Here is a 14,389-nt window from a genome sequence, read left to right as displayed (position 1 = left end):
TTTCAAAGTTAGGCAAGATTTTATGTTATATTTAAGTTTTGATGCTGTTGAAAGCACCTTCTTTATAATTATATTTTTGTAAAACAAAGATGGTTTATTAAGGAAGTCATCTAAAAATACTGGCACTGTTTTTTTTTGTTGTTGTTGTTGTTTGGAGACAGAATCTTGCTCTGTCACCCAGGCTGGAGTGCAGTGGCGCCATCTCGGCTCACTGCAACCTCTGCCTCCCAGGTTCAAGTGATTCTCCTGCCTCAGCCTCCCGAGTAGCTGAGACTACAGGCAAGTGCCACCATACCCAGCTGATTTTTTTGTATTTTTAGTCGAGATGGGGTTTCACCGTGTTAGCCAGGATGATCTCGAACTCCTGACCTCGTGATCCGCCCACCATGGGCCTCCCAAAATGCTGGGATTACACGCGTGAGCCACCACACCCGGCCTACAGGCACTGTTTTGATGTTTCGTAGTTTTGGAGATATTGTGGCTGAGTTTTATAATTTTAGTTGTAGGTAAATTTTTAAAGAAGTCCCATTCATGAAATTGTATTAGCTCTTAGACCAGTTATGGTTTATGACTTCATAATTTTCAAGCATGCTTCGTGAAACATGAGAAAATTTTCAAAAGCAAGTTTCATAGTACATGAATGAAGAGTAAAACGTGAATACCAAGAGACTCTGTCTCTTTACATACATTGCTTGAAAGTAAAACCCTCGTACAAGAAATCTGTCAACTATAATTATAAATCAACTTTTCTGTTTTACTTTCTCTCAATCTCATTATTTATCAGGCACATTCTCTGTTTAGCTCTCTGAGTAATAAATAGTCTGTAACCTTGACATTTCTTATCAACAAAGAGAAGCAATTTACAACATAGATTTTTCACCAGCAAAATATACTTAAATTTAACTAATTTACTTCAGAGTTCCCTTTTAATTAACATGGACTAACTTAAACAGAGTAATTTTTTTCTTACCTCACTTAATGCCTGAAAAGGGGGGGGGCTTATTTCACACTACTTATCAAGTTAGAATGAATTGTAGCAATAGGTATTGTTTTATGCCTGAAGGTTAATAAATAGAAAAATTTAAGTTTGATACTCTCAAGTACTGGCAATTATATGGGGGAAATGAGTACTTTTACATGTGTCTGTGTAAAAGTGCTTTTATCAGTTTAAAATATAAAGAGTATTTTTATACTTTAATTACTTCAAACAATTAAATCACACTTTAAACAGCCAACTTAAGGGTATGAGAAGGTGGGGTGGAGGGAGTGAAGGTGTAGGTATAGCTCTTACAACATTTAAAAAGAATACATAATTAATAATTCATTGACCTCAATATACTAAACTTATCTAATCACTTTCAAACATACCAAATTTAAAACAGCATACTTCAAAATAGCTTACAATGTTGGACCAGGCTACCCAAATCATCACCAGAAGATATATTGTAGTGTTTTCCTCCAGGGACGTAAGGTAGGGGAGCAGCTCCCAAAATTGCATCTGGACAAAAGATGTGGCTTATGTTCTTTTACCTTTAAGCTTGTACCTGCCAGATAGTCTTTTGGAGAGGAGTATTTTTGCCTGTTGAACATAGGTTTTTTGTCATGTGCTACGATTTTTGTTTGTTGTGGAATTAATCACATTGGCATAAATGGATGCCCAGGAGAAAATCATGTATCTGTTCCTCCATGTCTCTAGCCCTGATCCCAACACCAGCCTGAGGTTAGGATTGCTTAAAAGTCAAAATACTTAGCCCATAGTGGGCTTACAATAAATAGCAAATGAATGATGAAGTGAAGGATTTGTAGAGCTATGAAGAGTGGTTTAAAATCAGCAAATTTCTTCCAGATAGAAATCTATCTTCTTTAGCCATCTGAGTGGATACTGTTTCTCTTGGAAGACAGAGAAAAAAATATGCTCATTTTGCTTAGTCTTAGCAAGATTCTATTGTCAATTATTTATATTCATCAGAACAATGCCACACTTTTAGTTGATACTCAATGAATATGTGAATGACTAAAGCTTTCACAGAGCCTTAAGGCAAGCTATAAAAGATGCCTAATTTACAGCCACCTCCATCAGAGGGAGGCATGAAATGAGGCAAAATGTACAAGTCTACCAAATTCAGTTTATCATTCATTCATTGTTAATTCAACAAATACTTATTAAACCCTACTATTTACTGGGTAATGTTCAAAGTGTTTGGGATACATCAGTGAAGATGATGGCTACTAGCATAGAGTTTGCATTTTAGCCAGAGGGAGATAAAAAATATATGATAAACATAATAAATGAGTTATATAGCATATTAGACTGTGATGTGTGCTATAGGAAAAAAAAGAATAACTACAGCAAAACGAGGAAGAATTGGGCAGTTGGAGGGGGTGACTGCAATTTTAAAAAGAGTGGCTTGGTAGGTCACATTGAAAGGTAACATTTGAGCAATGAATTAAAGAAAGTGGGGGCCGGGCATGGTGGCTCACACCTGTAATCCCAGCACTTTGGGAGGCTGTGGCAGGTGGATCACTTGAGACCAAGAGTTTGAGACTAGCCTGGCCAACATGGTGAAACCCCGTCTCTACTAAAAATACAAAAATCAGCCAGGCATGGTGGCAGGTGCCTGTAATCCCAGCTACTAGGGAGGCTGAGGCAGGAGAATCGCTTGAACCCAGGAGATGGAGGTTGCAGTGAATTGAGATCGTGCCACTGCACTCCAGCCTGGGCAACAAGAGTAAAACTCTGTCTCAAAAAAACAAAAAAGAAAAAAAAATAAAATAAAGGAAGTGAGTATCTGAGAGATGAGGCATCGGGCAGGGGAAAAGTCAAAGGCCTAAGGAGGAAATTATTCCTTGACATGTTCAAGGAATAACAAAAATACCAAAATGGCTGCAGTAGAGTAAAAAGGGAGATTTGAAGGCAGGGAAGTAATGGGGGCTTGAGGTCGGTAGGTTATATAAGGAGTATAGGCCCCTGCAAAGACATTAGCTTTTTTCTGTCTGCCTTAAGAAGTGACTGCAATAGTTTGAAGAGGTTACAGAATTTAAATTTGTTTTTTAAAAATCACATTTTCATGTTAAGAATTGACTATGAACAAATATAGAAACAGGTAGACCATTTAGCAAGCTACAGCAATAATCTGGGTAAGATATGGAAGTGTTGAAACCTGAGAGGTCTCGGTAGGGTGGTGAGAAGTGGTTGCATTGTGGATGTTTTGAAGATAGAGATAAAAGGATTTCCTGATAGTTCAGACATAGGGAGTAAAGAAGAATCAAAGACAACTCAGATTTCTTTGAAAGATAGGATTGTATCAATTAAGCTGGAGCAGAGCAAGTGTCTGGAAAGTAGGTGAAGGCTTCACTGCTGCCATTATTGAGTGTGAGATGTCTACTAGACACACATGTGGAGATATTAACTAACTGCTGGTTGGACAAGTCTGGAATGCAGTGAAGAGGACTGGACTAGACATTTAAGTTTTTGAGTCAGTGGTATTTCAATGAAACATAAAGCTATGAGATTGAATGAGATCACCAAGGAAATTCATGTAGATATAAAAGATAATTTTTGTTTGTTTTTCAAAGACAGACAAAACAGAATTTTGTATGGTGACAGGAATGTTCCAGGGCAGAGGATAAAAAATGGTGTTTCAGGGGAGAGAGGGGAGGATTAAAGGATAGAGGGACTGAACATAGAGAGGAACATAGAGAGGAACATGACACAGGAAGGTAAGGAGTGATATAGTTGTGGGCATCTGTGGAAGCTCTCTTCTGAGTGTTTCAGTTTGCTTTGGAAAGTAAGAAAATAGGAAGCAAGGTCATCAGCTAGGTGAAGATGAAGGATACATTCTGTGTGTTTGTGTGTGTGTGTGTGTGTGTGTGTGTGTGTGTGTGTGTGTGTGTGTGTTTCTCCAGCCTTATCCAATTGTGTGGGAGTAGCCATAGGTAGAGATTTGGTATTAACTATAGTTGTAGTTTAATAGTCAAGTATAAAGAAGCAAGAGAGGAGAAGGCGGTTATACAAAGAAGTTAGTATAATTATTAGCCATGTAATTTAAATTGGATTAGAAGGAAGAGGGAACATCAAAAGACAGTTAAAGAGGGTAGATAAGTGGGTTAGAGTTTCCAGGTAGGGATGGAGAAAAGGACAATGAGGATTGTTGGGATAGGGATCTGTGGTGGCCATGAGTAACCACCCCTCAGATCTCCAAGTACAGGGAGTATAATTACCCAATGTTGCCAGTTTGTGAGTTTTGAAATCTATCATTACGTTTTTGGCAAGGTCAAACTTCCCCAAATTATATCCATACCAACAACTGAGTACAGGAGGGATATTAAGGCAGATTCATTCCCGGAAGATGCAGGAGTTTCCAATGGGCAACTTTGGCTAAAGGACCCCCAATCAGACCTGCAAAAACTGTCTTAAAACTTCATTGCAATCAAAGACTTTTCCTATCCAAACTTTTATCCTTCCCTTTCTCCTCCACAGGGCCTGCACTAACATCTGAAGGTTCTGCCAACATCAACCACCTTCCTTCCCATCTTTCTTCATTGACATTTTTCCCAAGTAAATCTCCTGTACTTCTAATCGTATCTCTACGTGTGCTTCTCAGAGGGCCAGAAATAATTCAGTGAAGCTGAATGAATGGATTGGAAAGATTAGAACAAGCAGCATGGAATTAAACTCATGGAGGGAGGAGTTGTAGGTATTAGTAGTTACAATGTCTAGGATACGTCCATGGTGAGAGAGGCTGCTGTAGAGTGGTGGAAAGGAATCCAAGAACCTGAGGGTCAGGGTGTTGGAAGAATCATTTTTATGTGTTCTACAATTGAAAATAATTAATATAGGAAGCCAGGAGCTGAAAAAAAATCAAAAAATGATGGGAGAATAATAAAAAATCAGAAGATAATACCAAAATGAAAAGTAGAGGATGATGTAATCTGATGACATGATATTTCAAGCTAAAATGTTTGGGAAGTAGGGAGAGAAGAAAGGAAAGTGGTCCGATGTGACAGTAAGCAGCAAAATGGTTGCCTACCCCATTTCATTCCCAATTGTAGGAGGGCTGATAGAAGAAACAAAACCAGTCATATCTTGAGAAGGTTTTAAGAAAAGCTATGTCCTTGGGCACAGGCTAGTGCCATTAGCATAGTGGTATTCAGTGGGGAGTGATTTTAAACCACATGGCATTCCCTCCACCAGGTCATTTAGCAAACTGGGGTGGAAGAGCTACTGGCATCTAGTGGATATAGGTCAGGGATACTGTGGAATATCCCACAAAGTACAGGACAGCCACCCACAACAAAGAATTATCTGACCCAAAATGTCAATAGTGTTGATGTCGAGAAAACCTTCCTTAGAAAACTAGGGTAAAAGAAATTTCAGAGAGAAGGCTGAGGGGATGGGATTTTTGCTAGTCATGATTTTGAATTCCAGAAGGCACAGTGGAAGGGGCTCAAAAGTTGGGAAGAAGTAGCATAGGAAGGCAGAATGCACAGATCCTTCTGAGAGCACAGTTTGGAGATGAGATATGACCAAGAGGACCGGCGTTTCTCGAGATAGCTCATAGAAATAATACCTACTTGTTGGACAGGGTTGCAAAGCCTCCCTCTTCACTCTTTTCTTCAGTTTTTGTGGCTGCCCCTTTACTCTTGCTAATGGTAGTGAAGTGCTGTAAGAGGTGTGGACTGTGGTTTCAGTTCCAGTGCCATGGATTCATCTGGACTCCTGACTGAAAGAGGCACACATACTCCTATTGTATGTGTTCTGGTTCATGTTGACCCTTCAACTTTTCTCTTTTCTGGATCTTTCTTTTTTGTTGTCACCCCTAGCTCCCTACTGGTCACCCCAAGTCCTTATATTTGCTTAGAACTCCTAAGAGAAGTTAGTAACATCCTTGATAAAGAATCCCACCTTTTCTTTCCTGAGTGATAACTCTCCCCACAACAACAGCCACCCACATACACATCCTAACCAACACATGCCTGCTAGCCATTTCTTCACCTTAGGGCTCTGATAAATTAGTGGTTGGCTTAACTACCATTTCTAGATGGATATGTTAAACCTACCAAATAATAATGAATCTGAACAAAGGCTTTTAATGCTTTAAGAAAGCATTACCATTGAGATTTCAGACAGAGGCAAAACTACTGTTAGACTTCAAAAATTATACTACCCAGGTGGCCAATTCTGTTTCAGTCTTTATAGATGATACAAAACATTATTAATATAGTTACTTCCTCATGGTTGAAAGATTCCACAAAGACAAATTCTAGAAGACAATACTGAGAAGAATTGTATCGCCTACATCACTCTCCCCTTTTATTCCCATTTAGCTATTTACACAGATTAGATGCTGTTGCTACCATGGTTTAGCTTGAGCTTCCCCTTTGTGACCTTTCTCCTAATTGATTTCCTTTCCTCACAACACATTCTGCTACCAATTTCCCTGCCCATCTCCCTTCCCTCCTCTCCACCGGCTGGGTTAAATTCACCCAGGGCCTTCACACCATATTCTTCTTATATTTAACCATTTTTCCCTAACTTTTTTATAATTTTTGGTTTACTTACTTTTTGCCCCACAGTAAATTCTGAGCACCATGGAAGCAGAATATATGCCCATCTTCATATATGCAGAATTGCTGTAGTGCCTGGCACTTCAATACTTGCTAAATTAGTGAACGGATAAATGGATACATGACTGAGTGAATAACTTCAGCTCCACAAAAGATGTGTGGGGCTCTAACAGTGCTGCCCTTTTGTGAAAAATTCTGAACTATGGGAGTTACAAATTATCTTTATATTGTTTCTTCTCCTATTCTTTACTGTTATGCAATCGATTCTTGCCGCTAACCACCATGCCAATTTCTACCAGTGCTTCCTACAGTTTTACTATCCTGCTTATTTCTATTCTACTGTGGGATAGGAAACCCCAGGTAATGAAAGGTGTGGCAAAGCTAAATGTAAGCAAGTAGGCTGTGAGTTAGGGCATTAAAAACTACTTTATGAAACAAAAAAAAGATAGGATCTTTAGGGCCAGCAATTTTTGCAAGTTATTTTTTGTCTCTCAGAAGCCTTTTTCTCCTCTCGTATGTTACACAACTGTGTGCTAAATAGTGGAGTCCTGAGAAAAAGAAAGGTTATCACATTCACATTATGTTGGTGGTGGGTTGAAATGTTATTGTCCTGTACCACTAGTGTCACCTTAAAGGTGAGAATGGTGTCTAAATTCTGCTCCATACTCATAAGTGCTCCATACATTCCTTCTGTATTCCTTAAGTCTTCAATGAAAACCCTTGTCCGATTTTATAGCACCACTTCCACTTAGTCACAAAAATGTAATATATAGTAAAAAAATTTGATGCCTTATATATTATTTTTCTTTTTCTTGTCTTTGTTGCTATTTCCTTTTTACCATAAAGCAAGATAAATAGTAAGAACAAAACTTTAAAGGGAAAGAATCTAGTTCAACCTCCAGTTCTGGCTCTATCATCTAACTAGGTAAACAGACATAAGGGGAAGAAAACCCTAAACTTCAGCTTCCTAGTTTACAAAAAAAAAGAAAATGAGGATAATTGAATGCTTAATTCCCAGGATTTAGATGAGAACCAAATGTCTAATATGGGAGAAAATATTTTGTAAGCTATAAAGAACTCTAAACATTGCTCTGTTAAATCTAGAGGAAAGGACAAAGAGATTAGGCAGTTACCTAGGTACAGAGAAAAAGAGCAAAAGGAAGAACTGATATGTAGGGAATAAGAGGAAGCAAAGGATGTTTTTCCTAAACTCAAAGACTGTACAATCTATTTACAGTAACAAGATTTTTATACAAGAGATAATTAGTGAACATTACCAAACAATATATGTAATCAACTGAGAAATTGTGGAGTATGGAATATTAACTGCTTTAGGACTTTAGAGAAAGGAGATGTATGTTAACTGAATAAGTTAAGAAAGTCATCTTAGAAATAAACTCTTTATTTTTTAAATCTTGGAACTGTAAACAATTTCTAGTTTCACTTCCATCATTTCAGAGATGAAGAATCAAAGAGTGCATCTTATTCCCTTCAAGAAGAATCTTATCCTCAAGACTTAAAGGATTTGATCTGAGAGCTAGTTAGGCATGCCCCTTATAATCTAGGACCCTTTCCTACACCCTCCCCTTGGAGAAGAAAAAGAACAGAATATGCCTTTAACAAGATATCATGATAAGCCAGCATCTTAAACCAGGACGTCAGCCTAAGGGACCAAGAAAAAGAGGGAGGCTAAGACTGAAATCCCATGGGTGGACGATTAATTCCAAAGGCTAAGGAGCTTTCCGGTTAGGAGTATTATGATTCTCACAGAGACTTCTGGAGCCACCAAGTGTCCTTAACCTCTTTCTTAGAAAGAGAAAAACAAGAGAGAATATCCTCTGCAGCTTTCTGATATGGTAAGAACAACGTATTTAGTAGTTCTTCCTGGTGAGCAGCATGTAACATCAAACATGAAATCCAGATATCACATCAAATATGATGGGTAGTCAGATTTTAGACAAATAAGTTTAAGGGGAAAACTTTTTTTTGTGTGTGACGGAGTCTCCTTCTGTCACCCAGGCTGGAGTGCAGTAGTGTAATCTCTGCTCACTGCAACCTCTGCCTCCCGGGTTCAAGCAATTCCCCTGCCTCAGCCTCCCAAGTAGCTGGGACTATAAGCACGCACCACCTCCCGGCTAATTTTTGTGTTTTTAGTAGAGACGGGGTTTCACCATTTTGGCCAGGCTCGTCTCGAACTCCTGACCTCAAGTGATCCACCTGCCTCGACCTCCCTAAGTGCTGGGATTACAGGTGTGAGTCACCATGCCGGGCCTTGGAAATTCATTTTGATTCAGCAAATCCTCTCTGAAGGCAAGCACTGTATTAGAAGCTGAAAATACAAATATGCAAACTTGTCTCTGTTGGAAAGGAATTCACTCTCTAGCAGGGGTGACAAATAAGAAAAGTAAACAGTCAGTTTTAATAAAATGCACTAAGTACTGCAGCAGAGAGAAGCAGAGGAAGCCAGAGAAATCTCAGACCTAATCCAAGTTTTTCACTCAATTTAGATTTTAACCCCTTAACCCAACCGAGTGAGGTGTGGGGTCCAGAACATACTTCACAGACAGCATGGTGCCTGAGCTATGAAATCAAAGAATGGTCTGTAAAACTAAACTGTGAGGTGCACAGTGATACAATGAGAACACTAGATTGATCACTATTATTTTTTTCTAGACCTCAGCATTGGGAATTTAGGGTATCCTTTTTCCCCTTCCCAATGTTAGAATCCATGAAAAGAAATAAGGCACAGATAAGTGGATGAATTAAAATGTCATATTTATTAATAAACCTGATATAACAACTTGGCTTTGGATTTGTGGTTTAAAGTTGACTTGCTACTGGAAAGGCTCTTCACTTTTATTGTTATTATTATTGTTATACTTTAAGTTCTGGGACACATGTGCAGAACGTGCAGGTTTGTTACACAGGTATACACGTGCCATGGTTGTTTGCTGCACCAATCAACCCGTCATCTACATTAGGTATTTCTCCTAATGCTATCACCCCCCAGCCCCCCACCCCTGACAGGCCTTTGTGTGTGATGTCTCCCTCCATGTGTCCATGTGTTCTCATTGTTCAACTCCCACTTATGAGTGAGAACATGCGGTGTTTGGTTTTCTGTTCCTGTGTTAATTTGCTGAGAATGATGGTTTCCAGCTTCGTCCATGTCCCTGCAAAGAACATGAACTCATCCTTTTTTATGGCTGCTTAGTATTCCATGATGTATATGTGCCACATTTTCTTTATCTAGTCTATCATTGATGGGCATTTTGGTTGGTTCCAAGTCTTTGCTATTATGAACAGTGCTGCAATAAACATATGTGTGCATGTGTCTTTACAGTAGAATGATTTATAATCCTTTGGGTATATACCCAGTAATGGGATTGCTAGGTCAAATGGTATTTCTGGTTCTAGATCCTTGAGGAATTGCCACACTGTCTTCCACAATAGTTGAACTAATGTACACTCCCACCAACAGTGTTAGAGCTTTCCTATATCTCCACATCCTCTCCAGCATCTGTTGTTTCCTGACATTTTAATGATGGCCATTCTAACTGGCAAGAGATGGTATCTCATTGTGGTTTTGATTTGCGTTTCTGTAATGAACAGTGATGATGAGCTTTTCTTCATGTTTGCTGGCCGCATATGCAGAAAACAGAAACTGGATCCCTTCCTTACACCTTATACAAAAATTAACTGAAGATGGATTAAAGACTTAAACATAAGACCTAAAACCATAAATCCCCTAGAAGAAAATCTAGGCAATACCATTCAGGACATAGGCATGGGCAAGGACTTCATGACTAAAACACCAAAAGCAATGGAAACAAAAGCCAAAATTGACAAATGGGATCTAAGTAAACTAAAGAGCCTCTGCACAGCAAAAGAAACTATCATCAGAGTGAACAGGCACCCTAGAGAATGGGAGAAAATTTTTGAAGTCTATCCATCTGACAAAGCGCTAATATCCAGAATCTACAAAGAACTTAAACAAATTTACAAGAAAAAAACAACCCCATCAAAAAGTGGGTGAAGGATATGAACAGACACTTCTCAAAAGGCTCCTCACTTTCTATGGGAAAAAAATAGTAATAATAATAAGGGCACAGAGGGAAGTTGAGGGTGATCTTTCCATACTTTTCCCCCTGCAGCATGCAGGATCAGTGCCCGTTTCAAAAGTGTTCATTGAGTGCATGGAATCCATGTAAACATTTTGTCTATTTATTGAGCTTTCTGAGAAGAAAGAATGGCCATATGCTCTAGTAGTGCATGTATGAACTGCCTTGCTGCAAGGAATCAAAGGTAAGGTGTGGTTCCATAGGAGCTGCCACAGGTCAAAGTTTCCTTTGAAAATTCAAGTTTTGCCTAATAATGGTTCTTTATGAAACGACCAAAAGTCTTGGTTTTGTTTATATTTGGCAATCCCAGCACCTTTGGCTCAGAACCCATTTCTTAGTTTTGTTTGGTACTGTAACTTCAAAGGTGGTCTTTCTTCCTCCTTCCCTACTTCTCTCCCTCCTTTCCTTCCTCCCTTTCTTTCTATGTATCTTTCAGACCACTGTTCCTTTTTCCTGCTCAATGTGCCAGAAAAGAGCTGACACTCACTCACATAACCATAGGTTTGACATGACCCTACCCATAGTCTCACAGAATGTGTAGGTTGAATGGAACTTGTGATGAATTTTAATTCAGGACCAAAGCCATTGTTTTACTCAATGAGATGTTCCACTGCACTAAATCCCTTATACCTCAGGAAAAGGTGATCTTTCCTCATCCTCCTCTACCTAAGTCTTCAAATGTGTAATGCTCTACATGGGGCAAGACATTTTCCCCTGATTTCTTCACAGCAATCACTTTGTGCTCTGAAGCATGAGATTCAATTACCCATATCATTGTCTTTGCCTGCACAGCTACAACCATTAATAATGATCATAAAATTGCCTACTTCTTTAATATAAATTCAGTCACAGTTATGCAGTTCCAATCATGCATCACCAGGTACATTAAAATATATACATTTTCTAAGCGTCTAGGGAATAACTGCCTCTTAACAAAATTTGCATTCTATTTAAAATAAATTTCAAAAAATGTGAAAATTAAGTGACTGTAAATAGCCTAGCAATTATTCTAATTAGGAAAATGTTTCTAAGAGAAAATAAGATGACTCTAAATGAACCATACATTTATTTTCTCTAATGTGTATTTGATCTATGTCTCTATTTAGGGTGATGTGTGTATATTTTTAAATTATGCTTTTTTGAACTTGCAGTGGATCTTTGCATTTACCAGCTGGGAATAGTTCCTTCGGGCAGAGGTCGTGGGACATCAAAACTGAGCCAGCATAGCAAGAACTGCATTTTCCTACTGGAGTGTTAGTAAAATTTCAGGCAAAAATCTGAGCATCCCTGTTAAGCCCCAGAAAAGAAACTTTCCTGCTGAAACCTCTTACAGATCAATGCCACTTTGCACCCCCTCTCCATGATATTCTGGAACTGCAAAACACAGTTATGTAGGCTTTAAATTTTGGAAATCAACTTTTTTGTTTTCATTTCATTTTTCAATGTACATCGCTACAAGATAAGGGATCTTCATTTTTCTTTTTTAACCTGACTGCAATACATTATCACATAGAATAAAATTGAGAATTCCTTAATACCATCAAATATCTTGTAAATGTTTACATTTCTAATTGTATCCTAAATAGCAATTTTGGCTAACAGTTGTTTGATTGGATCAAGATAAAAATAAGATCAGTTCATTGATTAGTATAATGTTTAAGTTTCTCTTTAAAAAAAACACACACAGGTGCAATTAACACACCATAACATTTACTGAGTTTAAGTATAGTCGTCAATGATTTTAGTAACTTTACATTGTCTCTCTTAATCTATAGGTTTCCCCTTCATCTCTCAATTTATTTCTTTTTTTAAATTGATGTGTTGAAGAAACTGACTGGGTCATTTGTTCCACAGAGTTTTCTAGATTTTCTATTTTACTGAGTTCATTCCCATATATTTTTGTGTTTTTTAATCACTATTTATTAGTTTTAAAAATAAATTTATAATTTATAAATTCTTGTAAATTTACGTTTACAGATTTTATAAAAATAACTGCAGTTTTAATTCACTTACTAATTATTTACTCTTTATTGGTAGTTGGTATAAATTGCCTTTAGCTAGAACATTTTATCAGTGGTGGTGTGTGTTTCAACAAGATGTACCCTCTTGTTGTAATGTCAGCAGCTGTTAACCATGAATGCCTTTGTATTAATTCATTAGGGATTTAAAAGAGTAATATTCTACATCTATTAATTTTTCTTCATTTATTAGCAAAAAACTATCATAAAGAATTATCCTTCCATTCTGTTATTTAGTTAGCCAAAAGTACAGACTACATAGGAATGGCAGGTTAAAATGTTGGACCATTTCCTTTTATACACGTTTTCAAAGTAATTAGTTTGTTTCCTAGCATCCTCCAATACTGAACAATATCTTGTTGTTGTCTGTATTCTCATGTACTTATAAGTTTAAACATATTCAAATGTCTTAATCTATTGAGATTATCCTCATTATTGTTTCTCAAAGTGTCCCATTAGTAGCTAGTGGTATCTTCTTCCTGCTTCTGAGTCCTACTGACTCAACATGGAATGATGAAGATATTCTTTTTCCAGACCCACAATTGGCCCTGAGAATCTCAACATTCCTAAGTTTCAATTCCATGTGCACATTTATGCACTGTATGGCCCTTCATTCTGACTAACCACTGTGGTTTCTGATTGACACCTTTATTCTCTTTCCCAGTACATTTCCTGTGTTTCCATTTTCTGGATAGAATATAACAAGTGTTATCTTCAAAGTCAGGTTAGGAGTTCTACAGTCATATTTTATTGATTCATTCACCAAACGTTGATAAAAATGTGGCAGTCAGGGTTTGATTAGAGAAGCAGAAACTCTGTGAATGATATAAAGGACTTATAAAAACTATGTTTTATGCTATAATTGGTGTCAGTGGTGAAGGCTATGCAAGCCTGTCACCTCTGAGTTTAGTTTTGGGTTAAAGCCACCATAGGCTAACCAGGTCAGTAATCAGAAAGGAGGTTGTGGAGAAGAAACTTAAACTAGAACTCACCAGTTCAGACAAACTGGTATCCATGAGGACCACCTGGAACTTATATCCTTATCTCATTGCCCTTCACTGTAGTGATGTAGATGAATGGATGATTTTCAGGACAGCCTGATGCCTTTTACTATGGGTTCACATACACACCTAGCCCAGAACTGAGGAGCTCAAGAAGGATACATGCCAGGAGCTGGACAAGTTGCAAGTCTGGGTGATACAGCACACGCATAAGGTGAGCCAGCAGATCAGCAGCAAAACCCATGAGTTGTCATTGTTCCCAGTGTCGTACGCCAGGCTTCAGGGCACAAAAGTGGTTGCTGCTTCATGTCTGCTCTCCAAATACTGAACACATTTCTCTTGTCACTAAACCTAATCTAGTAGTGGACAAGGAAGGGAATTGTAAAAGTAGTTTCAGCTTAACTAGTTTGAAAGCATGCAGAGCCACCAGAAAGAATCCACTCCTTACTAGCTTGGCATCCACATGCTCCTCTTTTCATCACGCTTAAATTCCAAATAAGGAAAAGAGGAAAATCATGCTTTACCTAATTTTTTGTAACCATCACTCAGAAAATGGAAAATATGCCATTACTTTCCCCAAAAGAGGATTCAAAGCCCTTTGTTCATTTGTGGGTGATGTTCATTCCTTGTCTGATTCCGACATACCATCTAACAACCTTTGATGTGCTGTAATTAAAATAGGGAG

At 38.1% G+C, this 14,389-nt stretch overlaps 1 long non-coding RNA gene across 4 annotated transcripts in view; it reads right to left on the bottom strand.

Annotated features, from left to right (window-relative positions):
* LOC105372121 (uncharacterized) overlaps positions 1-14,389 on the bottom strand; it is a 175,442-nt gene that overhangs the window by 118,911 nt on the left and 42,142 nt on the right. The window lies entirely within an intron of this gene.

This window comes from Homo sapiens, chromosome 18, assembly GCF_000001405.40.
Source record: "Homo sapiens chromosome 18, GRCh38.p14 Primary Assembly".
Taxonomy (NCBI): Eukaryota; Metazoa; Chordata; class Mammalia; order Primates; family Hominidae; genus Homo; species Homo sapiens.
The sequence above is the reverse complement of the archived record's forward strand: the minus strand, read 5'-3'. Positions and strand labels throughout refer to the sequence as shown.